Source organism: Homo sapiens, chromosome 14, assembly GCF_000001405.40.
Source record: "Homo sapiens chromosome 14, GRCh38.p14 Primary Assembly".
Taxonomy (NCBI): Eukaryota; Metazoa; Chordata; class Mammalia; order Primates; family Hominidae; genus Homo; species Homo sapiens.
The window spans coordinates 93,195,906-93,207,209 of NC_000014.9; the positions used below are offsets into that span (position 1 = coordinate 93,195,906).

Consider the following 11,304-nt stretch of genomic DNA (forward strand, 5'->3'; position numbering starts at 1 on the left):
ATTGTTTTCAAGGTTAGGCACATCAGTTTCAGAAATACCTCTTCTCTTTTTTTATGGCATCTTATTTCTTAGCCTCCCAAGGTGCTGGGATTACAGGTGTGAGCCACTGTGCCTGGCCAAGGTGGCTCCTTTTTTATGGTATCTTATTTCATATTTAGCCCAGCTCTCCTACTCTCTGGAAGTTGCATTATCATTCTTTTTCTTGTTTTCTTTTTTGAAACAAGGTCTTGCTCTGTTGTCCAGGCTTGTCTAGAACTCCTGGGCTCAAGGGATCCTCCCACCTCCCCCTCCCAAAGTGCTAGGATTACCAGGGAGAGCCACCGTGCTGGGCTTTTCCTCCTCCTTCTGACAAAGTGGTTGGATGGGAAATGTGGATTTTTTTTGCTCTGCTTTTAAAGTCTGAACTGGTTATTTTTTGCCCTGAATTACTAACACGACAGTGTTTTAAACTGTTAATATGGCTGCTCTGTTCTTATTAAATCTAAAGCATAACTTTGTAAAATTAAAAATTGAAAGTTTTGGCTAGGTGAGGTGGCTCACACCTGTAATCCTAGCACTTTGGGAGGCAAAGGCAGGCAGATCATGAGGTCAGGAGATGGAGACCATCCTGGCTAACACGGTGAAACTCCATCTCTACTAAAAATACAAAAAAATTAGCCGGGCGTGGTGGCGGGCGCCTGTAGTCCCAGCTACTCTGGAGGCTGAGGCAGGAGAATGGTGTGAACCCGGGAGGCAGAGCTTGCAGTGAGCTAAGATCCCACCACTGTACTCCAGCCTGGGGGACAGAGCAAGACTCCATATCAAAAAAAAAAGAAAGTTTCAAAATAATGTTCTGTATTCAGGTAGAAAATTACATCCTTTTTTTAAATGGAAAAAGAAAAGGGCATAAAATGAAAAAACTCCCTCACTCCCAACTCCTACTCCCCTCCCTCTTCCCAGAGGTAGTTGTGCTATTCTTTCAGAGATATATGTCTATCTAGCTTATATTCCCCAATAGTAGCATTCTATACAGTTATCTTGCTAGTTTTTATTAAGCATATCTCAGAGATTGATCTTAAACAGCATATAGAGCTTTACCTTAGTGTTTTCCATAGCTGCACAATATTGTTGTACTAAGTTTCCTCTATTTTTATCTAATTATGGTCTTCTGATGAACAGTTAGGTTGTTTCCAGCCTTTTGTTACCAATAATGCTGCAACAAATAGTCTTATAAATAGATCTTTGTGCATGTGTGTTACTCTGTAGGACAAATACCTATAAATGAAATTGCTGAGTCAAAGAGCATGTACATTATATATATATATAATTATTATTATTATTTTTTGAGACACGGTCTCGCTCTGTTGCCAGGCTGAAGTGCAGTGGCTCACTCTTGGCTCACTGCAACCTCCGCCTCCCGGGTTCAAGTGATTCTCCTGCCTCAGCCTCCTGAGTAGCTGGCACTACAGGCACGCCAAAACTTTCAATTTTTAAAGTATTTTTAGTAGAGACGGGGTTCACCATGTTGGTTGGCCAGGATGGTCTCGATCTCTTGACCTTGTGATCCACTCACCTCGGCCTCCCAAAGTGCTGGGATTAGAGGCGTGAGCCACTGCCCCTGGACTAATATTTTAACAGAATTGTCGACTTGACTTTCTAAGAGCTTATAGCAATTTACACTCTCACCATCAATATATTATAGACCTCACATCCTTTCCAGCTCAGTACTGCATCAAAACTGTTGATTTTTCCATCTGAAAAGTAAAAAAATGGTATTGCATTGTGGTTTTAATGTTAACTTATTTGAAGTGCACTTTTTTTTTTCACTGAAAAGCCATGTGTATTTCTTCTGTGATCTTGTGGTTCCTTTCCTCTGCCTATGTTTCCGTTATATTTTCCTGACTAGTATATAAGGGATCTACATAAAAGAATTTGTTCTTAGTCATTTGTGCTAAAAATACTTAATACTTTTCCCTGTTTTTATTTTGACCATATTTACAGAATGTTCAGAAATTTTAGTTATTATGAATCATGTTTACTAATACTTTCCACTATGGTTTCTGGATTTTTACATTGTAGTATTATTAATTTCCCCAAACATGTTTATCTGCACCCATCACCAGTATGGATATAGTTTTGAACTGTGTGGTGCTCAACTACCAATCACAATAGTTCATACAAGGAATTGCTTGTAAAGATTTTGTCATGCCGGGCTCGGTGGCTCACACCTGTAATCCCAGCACTTTGGGAGGCCGAGGCAGGCGGATCACGAGGTCAGGTGATCGAGACCATCCTGGCTAACATGGTGAAACCCTGACTCTACTAAAAATACAAAAAAAAAACAAAATTAGCCAGGCACGGTTGCGGCCGCCTGTAGTCCCAGCTACTCGGGAGGCTGAGGAGGGAGAATGGTGTGAACCAGGAAGGCAGAGCTTGCAGTGGGCCAGATGGCGCCACTGCACTCCAGCCTGGGCGACAGGAGACTCCGTTTCAAAAAAAAAAAAGTTTTGTCGTAACACATAGAGGTTGACGACTGAGTTAAAAAGCTTAGGTTTTCAGGTTGTCTTTTTTTTTTTTTTTTTTTTTGAGACGAAGTCTTGCTCTGTCACCCAGGCTGGAGTGCAGTGGCACAATCTCGGCTCAGTGCATCCCACACCTCCTGGGTTCAAGCAGTTCTACTGCCTGTCTCCCTAGTAGCTGGGATTACAGCTGCACACCACCATGCCTAGCTGATTTTTTGTATTTTTAGTAGAGACAGGGTTTCACCATGTTGGCCAGGTTGGTCTCGAACTCCTGACCTCAGGTGATCTGCCAGTCTTGGCCTCCCAAAGTGCTGCAATTACAGGTGTGGGCCACCACGCTCAGCCACAGGTTGTCTTATGTATGTATCTTATTGCAATATAAGAAATGATAGTCTATACTTACATTGATGGAACAATTTGAGAAACAGTTGCATCTTTAGGTTAAATAGAAACTAGATAAAAGTACTACATAATAAACTGAGGGCCACAGACATCTCCAACTGATTTTCTCATTTGGAAGAAAACATAAACTTTATTTCCTTTAGAAGTACAGGCTTTTTCAATTAAAAAATTCAAAAGTTCTCCTGAAGCAAATGTTTAAACTGAAACCTAAAGGATAAGTAGATAGACAAAGGAGGTCATTTGGCCCAGGATTTGAAAGGCAACTAGTGGCAGAAGCATAAATCCTGAGTCTAAGCTGGGCATGGTGGCTCAGGCCTGTAATTCCAGCTCTTGGGGAGGCTGAGCTGAAGAGGATCACTTGAGGCCAGGAATTAGAAAACAGCCTAGGCAACGTAACTGAGACCTCCCCCGTCTCAAAAAAAAAAAAAAAAATAGCCAAGCGTGATTGCATGCACCTGTAGTCCTGGCTACTCTATAGGCCAAGTGGGAAGACTGCTTGAGCCCTGAAAAATCTTGAGCTATTGAACTCAAGATTGCTTGAGCCCTTACCTTCCAAATGAGTTTGAAGTTGCAGCGAGCTATGTTCATGACACTGCACTCCAGCCTGCATGACAGAGACCATCTCAAAAAAAAAAAAAAATCCTCTGATTCTGAATGCCCATTTCTAAATGGAGAGGCGGGGGAATTGATTTCCTCACATACATTTTTTTTCCTACTTTTCCAAAGTAAGTTTTTCTTCCCAAAAAGGTTTAAATGTCTTAAAATTAATTTTGCACCAACCTAATATTATAGCCAAGCAACCACAACCTATTATAAAAAAGTTCTCGTCCTTGGCCACAGAATTCTATTATTAAAATAAACATTTCTGTGACGCAAAAGGACTTACTTTTAGAAAACACATCTATCTTGCATAAATTCCATATGTTTCACATTTTAAAAGATTTATCTAAGTCTAATGTCAAGCTTATTTTTAGGTAGGATTGTGCGGCTGACTTTCCTGTTCAAAAGTAAAGTTGGAGCTGTTTCAAAGAGTAACTTTATTCTGCTTGCCTGTGGCTGTTTGTACCACAGAAGGCAGATTTGTCAGGTGCGGTGGCTCATGCCTGTAATCCTAGCACTTTGGGAGGCCAAGGCAGGAGGATCGCTTACAGCCAAGAGTTTTAAGACCACCCAGGGCTACAAAGCAAGGCCCCCATCTCTACAAAAAATTAAAAAATTAGCCTGGCAGCTGGGCACGGTGGCTCACACCTGTAATCCAAGCACTTTGGGAGGCCAAAGTGGGTGGATCACCTAAGGTCAGGAGTTCAAGACCAGCCTGGCCAACATGGTGAAACCATGTCTCTACTAAAATACAAAAATTAGCCAGGCGTGGTGGCAGGCACCTGTAATCCCAGCTGCTTGGGAGGCTGAGGCATGAGAATCGCTTGAACCTGGGAGGTGGATGTTACAGTGAGCCAAGACCATGCCATTTCACTCCAGCCCGGGCAAAAAGAGTGAAACTCCATTTCAAAAAAAAAAAAAAAAAAAAATGGCCGGGTGCGGTGTCTGTAATCCCAGCACTTTGGAAGGCCAAGGCGGGTGGATTACCTGAGGTCGGGAGTTTGAGATCAGCCTAATCAACATGGAGAAACCCCATCTCTACTAAAAATACAAAATTAGCCTGGCCTGGTGGCGCATGCCGGTAGTCCCAGTTACTTGTGAGGCTGAGGCAGGAGAATCGCTTGAACCTGGGAGGTGGAAGTTGTAATGAGCCAAGATTGCACCATTGCACTCCAGCCTGGGCAACAAGAGCGAAATTCCGTCTAAAAAAAAAAAAAGAAGAAATAAGATAAAAAATAAATTAGCCTGGCGTGATGGCACACACCTAGTGCTTGGCTGCTTGGGAAGCTGTGGTGCGAGGATCACCTGAGCCCAGGAATTCCAGGCTGCAGTGAGCTGATTGCGCCACTGTACTCCAGCCTGAGTGACAGTGAGACCCAAGAGCAGCAGCAGATTAGGCAACTTGGCAAAGCATTTCTTCTATACTGGTCCATCTTTGTCAAACACATGGCTTACTTATGAAGAAGACAGTATTAGAATTGAAATCAGTATTAAAATTAATTAAAAGACCAATCTTATAAATCAGAACCTAAAAACACTGGGACACAAACACAAATATTATCTTGAAATTTCTTCTTTATAACCACATTTTCCAAAGGAGGAAACATAAAATGTTCAGAGAAAAGGTTCAAATATCAGTTTAACAATGTGCTCTCTTTTCAGTATATACAGGTAAGTTTTTTTCTTTTCTTTTTTGAGATGGAGTTTCGCTCTTGTTGCCCAGTCTGGTGTGCAATGGCACCACTGGCTCACTGCAACTTCTGCCTCCCAGTTTCAAGCTATTCTCCTGCCTCAGCCTCCCAAGTAGCTGGGAATACAGGCATGTGCCACCACACCAGGCAAATTTTGTATTTTTAGTAGAGACTGGGTTGCTCCATGTTGGTTGGGCTGGTCTCGAACCCTCGACCTCAGGTGATCCGCCCACCTCGGCCTCCCAAAGTGCTGGGAATACAGCCATCAGCCACCGTGCCCAACCAGTTTTTTCTTTAATGATTGTATAGAGATAACAGTACTATAATAAATAAGTTAAATGTTAGAAACATCAACATAAACTAAACAAAGATAATTTCTGACCATCCATAACTTTTTCTAGTTGGCACTGTTTTGATTGCCCAAGAGTACTTAGTGGAAGGCTGCTTGCTGTTCCAACTAAAACAATATTTCAAGGATATGAAAAAGTGTGTAAATTGAGTTTCACTTAAATTATTTCACAATAAAAGTGATTCATAAAAGTTGATTAGTCCGGGCATGGTGGTTCACGCCTGTAATCCCAGCACTTTGGGAGGCAGAGGTGGGCAGATCCCTTGAGTCCAGGAGTTCTAGACCAGCCTGGGCAACGTGGTGAAACCATCTCTACAAATACAAAAAAATTAGCCAGGTGTGCTGGTGCATGCCTGTGGTCCCAGCTATTTGAGAGGGTGAGGTGGGAAGATCACCTAAGCCTGGGACTCGGAGGTTGCAGTGACAGTGAGCCGCGATCGTGCCACTGCACTCCAGCCTGGGTGACAGAGTGAAACCCTGTCTAAAAATAAAAATTTAAAAAAGAAAGAAAGAAAAAAAGGCTACGCACGGTGGCTCACGCCTGTAATCCCAGCACTTTGGGAGGCTGAGGCGGGCGGGTCACGAGGTCAGGAGTTCGAGACCAGCCTTACCAACATGGTGAAACCCCATCTCTACTAAAAATATAAAAATTAGTCGGGCGTGGTGGTGTGCACCTACAATCCCAGCTACTCAGGAGGCTGAAGCAGGACAATTGCTTGAACCTGGGAGGTGGAGGTTGCAGTGTGCCCAGATCGCACCATTGCACTCCAGCCTGGGCAACAGAGCAAGACTCCATCTGAAAAAAAAGTTGACCCTGGGAAAAAAAAAAAAATTGACCTGGCGTGGTGGCTCATGCCTGTAATCCCAGCACTTTGGGAAGCCAAGGTGGGTGAATCACCTGAGGTCAGGAGTTCGAGACCAGCCTGACCAACATGGTGAAACCCCATCTCCACTAAAAATACAAAATTAGCTGGGCGTGGTGGCACATGCCTGTAATTTCAGCTACTTGGGAGGCTGAGGCAGAAGAATTGCTTGAATCCGGGAGGGAGAGGTTGCAGTGAGCCAAGATTGTGCCACTGCACTCCGGCCTGGGCAACAAGAGTGAAACTCTGTCTCAAAAAAAAAAAAAAAAAGAAAAAAAAAGTTGATCTTCTCTCACCTTTTATCAGCTTAAAAAAAATCTAAAGGCTATTTATGTAACCCAGTTTGTCAATGGTTAGCTCTGTAATCTGAGGGCAAATACTTATCCTTAGATTTATCTCTGAAATAAATCACATAATTTGTAAAGTGACTTCCAACTCTAAAATTCCATGACTATTTGTATTTTACTAGGTACATGCTACTTGATTTCTTTGCATTGAAGCTATCTAAATCAGGAAGGATGCACAGCAAATAAAAATGCCTTAGTCCCACTGACGAGCAGAAAAGAAACACACACACATACATATTTTAGGAATATATATTTTTAAAAGGATTCAATAATCTTTTTAAAGCAAAATCAAAGTATGGCTACAGGAGGAGAGGAAATATCCAAATTGTAATCAATGCAGATTGTTTACTTAAGGCCTTATATTTGTACCTGTATAAATACCATATCACAGCACAAAAACATACCCCATCTGGCTCTCTTAAGGTACATGATAAATCAGACTAATGCACATTCATCAAAGTGGCATCATCTCAGGATATGTGCATATTTGACGTGGGTATGAATTCAGGGTTTCCTTGGGTCTCTTTCAAGGACTCTCCTTTCTCGTCGGTATTTCTATTTCCTTATTTTCCTTCTGTTTATGAAGAACTGTTATTTTTATATTTAATGCCCAATTTTCACTACTTGTTCATGTCAGTTCTCTGAAATGTTACTGCCTATGAACCGTGACATGTACTCTTTATAACAGAACCAGAAGTTAAAAGATGTAGACATCACACAAATCAATGATTATTTTAAAAATAGAAAACAATGATAAAAATTCAGTTGCCAACTTAGAGGATTTTATACATTATGAAGTGTTCTATTTTCCTTCCAGGGTCTGAAATTTATTTCTCAAGAAAACAGATTTTATTTCTAAGCCTTTACTATCTTTGCTAGAAACAGAAAAACCAGTTTTCTCTTTGACAAAATTGTCCCAGGAGAACAACACAAATGCTTTTTCCAAATTAGAGCATAAGTCTTCCTTAAATGTCCTAGTGTGACAATAAGGATACAACAGCCATCTTTTAAATGTCATGAAGGCTATTGTTAAGACGGTGTTTTTGGCCGTTTTGCAGATGGTCCATCGAAGTTAGTTCTGTTATCAATGTTATTTTCATCTTCTGCATCATCTTCATCATCACCTTTTAAAATAAATATTTGTTGTATGACAATACGTTCTATGGCTGAAAGAAATATATATAGCTAAAGTGGTTGATAATGAGACCATTTCACTTTAGGGATTAATAAAACCTGCACATTTTAGATTAAAATGATTTTGAGAATTTCAGTGTTTAAAATCTTTATTTTCTATCACTTTCCTCTTTGGAAATATTAGTTCATTCACCATAAAATCCACTCTTTTTTTCTTTTTTTTTGAGATAGTCTTGCTCTGTCGCCAGGCTGGAGTGCAGTGGCACGATCTCAGCTTACTGCAACCTCCGCCTCCGGGGTTCAAGCGATTCCTCTGTCTCAGCCTCCCAAGTAGCTGGGATTACAGGCACGCGCTACCACGCCCGGCTAATTTTTTGCATTTTAGTAGAGATGGGGTTTCACCATGTTGGCCAAGATGGTCTTGTTCTCCTGACCTCGTGATCCGCCCGCCTCGGCCTCCCAAAGTGCTGGGATTACAGGTATGAACCATTGTGGCTGGCCAAAATCCACTCTTTTAAAAAGTGTACGGCCTAGTGGTTTTTAGTATATTCACTAGCTTGTGCAACCATCACCTAGAACACTTTCATCACTCCAAAGAGAAATGATATGCCCATTAGCAGTCGCTTTCCATTCCCCTCAGCCTTCGGCAACCACTAATCTACTTTTTTTCCCCCTTATTAGAGATAGGGTCTTGCTATGTTGCCCAGCTAGACTCAAACTCCCAGGTTCAAGTGATCCTCCTGTCTCAGCCTCTAGAGTAGCTGGGACTACAGGTGCCCACCACTGCACCTGGCTCACTAATCTACTCTATCTCTATGGATTTGCCTATTCTGTACATTCATATAAACAAAATCATGCAACATGTACCCTTTTGTGTCTGGCTCTCACTTAGCATAATGTTTTCAAGGTTCATTCATGTTGTAGCACATGTTAATACTTCATTACTTTTTATTGCTAATAATAGTCCATTGTATGGATATACCACATTTTGTTAATGCACTCATCGGTTGATGGATATTTGCATTATTTCTATTTTTTAAAATTATCATTTTTAGAGATGAAGAGATGAGGCCTCACTCTGTCCTCCAGGCTGGAGTGCAGTGGAGCAATCAGCCCACTGCAGCTTCAAACTCTTGGGTTCACATGATCCTCCCACCTCCTAAAGGCGCAACACCAAGCCCAGCCAATTGTTGTTTCCACGTTTTAGCTACTATAAATGCTGCTGTTATCAACATTCATGCGTAAGTTTTTGTGTGAACATACGTTTCCAGTTTTCTTGGGAGGACTACCAGTGGAACTGCTGGGTCATATGGTAACTTCATGTCAACTTTTTGAGGAGCTACCAAACTCTTTTTCCCAGTGGTTACACTGTTTTACATTTCCACCAACAATGTACAAGGTCTCCAATTTCTTCACATTCCAGCCAACACTTGTTATTGTTCTTTTTGATTATAGCCAACATCCATATTATCAAGATGTATTTCCCAAGATGGAAGGAAAGTACAGTTTAAGCTCTTCTTACATAATTGTAAATCCTGACTCTAATATCTAGTTCTTGGGTTTTTCAGCTCAGGACGGTTAAAATGTACCTGCCTGGCCAGGTGTGGTGGCTCACGCCTGTAATCCCAGCACTCTGGGAGGCTGAGGCGGGTGGATCACGAGGTCAGGAGTTCGGGACCAGCCTGGCCAACACAGTGAAACCCTGTCTCTACTAAAAATACAAAATTAGCTGGGAGTGGGGGCGGGTGCCTGTAATCCCAGTTACTCCGGAGGCTGAGACAGGAGAATCGCTTGAACCGGGGAGGGAGAGGTTGCAGTGAGCCAAGGTTGTGCCACTGCACTCAAGCCTGAGTGACAGAGCTAGACTCCATCTCAAAAAAAAAAAAAAGTACCTGCCTATTTCTGCATTCGAGGCAATTTTTTAAAAATAATGCAGTTAAACTTCATGTTTCTACTTTCAAACTGCACCTACAAAACTGGAAAGGCAAGGGAGTCTCTGGGAGTTAATACGTGATAAAATGAAGTCTGTCCCAGTCTTTGGAACCTGTTCCTACTCTGCGATAGATTGTACTCTTCCAAGTATGTCTGTAGTTTCACACCTGATAAAACTCCTTTTTATTCAACACCCAGCTCAAAAGTCTTATCCTTTCTGAAGACTTCCTAGGGTGTCTGGGTTTGCAACAGTTACAGAGGACCACAGAACCACTTTCACTTTTTTTTTCTTTTTTTTTGAGACGGAGTCTCGCTCTGTCGCCCACGATAGAGTGCAGTGGCGCGATCTCGGCTCACTGCACCCTCTGCCTCCAGGGTTCAAGCGATTCTTCTGCCTCAGCCTCCCGAGTAGAGTAGCTGGGACTACAGGAGCATGCCACCACGCCCAGCTAATTTTTGTATTTTTAGTAGAGACAGGGTTTCACCATATTGGCCAGGCTTGTCTCGAACTCCTGACCTCGTGATCTGCCTGCCTCGGTCTCCCAAAGTGCAGGGATTACAGGCGTGAGCCACCAGCCCGGACCACTTCCACTTTTAATAAGAGTGTCTGCCTGTCTAGTCCCCTTGTGTTTCACAAGGGCAGGAACTGAGTCGCATTCACCTCATTCTTCCTCCAGGGCTCAGCTCAGGGTTTGGCACATAATAGTAGGCATTCGACACGTTTTTTTGTGAAATAAACGAAATAGCGATGAGTTGTGGAAACGCTTGAGTAGAAGCAGCCCAAATAAATATAGTGATAAATGCCAACAATTTTTATTTTTTAAATTATTTTAAAAATAATAATAGAAACGGGGTCTCGATATGTTGCCCTGGCTGTTCTGGAACTCCTGACCTCAAGTGATCCTCCTGCCTCGCCCTCCCAAAGTGCTGGGATTACAGGCGTGAGCCCCACTTCGCCTAGCCCGCCAAAAATTTTTAGATGCAATTCTTCTTTCCTCGAGGCTCACTTTGTCCAAGTCTGCCACTCTACACGGGCTCCCCAAGCCAATTTCCCCTGGGCGCCCGCCCCGTCCTCCGGTCACTGCAGCACCGTCTCAGAGCTCACCGTCCAAGTCCTCGTCTGGAGCCGCCGCCACCCGGTGCTGCACTTCCCCCTGTACCAGAGGGTCGAATAATTCCGTTACCATGTCCTTCATCTGGGCCACGCCAGACAACAGGCCCTGGAAAGGGTCGCCGTCACCCGGCGCCTCACAGGACACCCGCAGCTTCTGCGGCTTCCCTTCCTGCCCGACGTACTCTCCCAGCAGCTCCATGGTGACCGCTAAGCTTCCAGAACACGACACCGGGAAGCGCCACCCGGAGGCGGAAATCAGCCCGCGTCCGGCGCAGGCGGGAGAAGGGAGAGGAGTGACATCCGTTTGTCGGAAGTCGCTCCTCCCCCTTCCTTCGCTTTTTTTCCTTGTCATTGGTTCCTGGCACTCGGGC

General features: G+C 43.1%; 1 protein-coding gene across 1 annotated transcript, besides 1 other annotated feature; it reads right to left on the bottom strand.

Moving 5' to 3' along the window:
* GON7 (GON7 subunit of KEOPS complex) lies at window positions 6,989-11,160 on the bottom strand. Its single transcript, NM_032490.5, has 2 exons — window positions 10,925-11,160; window positions 6,989-7,877 (listed from the first exon to the last, which is right to left on the bottom strand). The coding sequence occupies exons 1-2, from the start codon at window positions 11,130-11,132 to the stop codon at window positions 7,783-7,785; spliced, it is 303 nt and encodes a 100-aa protein (NP_115879.2). The 5' UTR covers window positions 11,133-11,160; the 3' UTR covers window positions 6,989-7,782.
* Window positions 10,397-11,256: an enhancer, noted in NCBI's record as "H3K27ac hESC enhancer chr14:93672647-93673506 (GRCh37/hg19 assembly coordinates)". NCBI's record gives its function as "activates a minimal SCP1, AML or CMV promoter by ChIP-STARR-seq in naive H9 embryonic stem cells {active_cell/tissue: H9 hESC(naive)}" and the evidence as "EXISTENCE:reporter gene assay evidence [ECO:0000049][PMID:30033119]".

Excerpts from the sequence above, each read along its gene's own strand:
- GON7 (NM_032490.5), bottom strand. The coding sequence starts at position 11,132 with ATGGAGCTGCTGGGAGAGTACGTCGGGCAGGAAGGGAAGCCGCAGAAG. Across the intron at positions 7,878-10,924 it reads TCCAGACGAGGACTTGGACG|GTGATGATGAAGATGATGCA; the intron begins GTGAGCTCTGAG and ends TTATTTTAAAAG.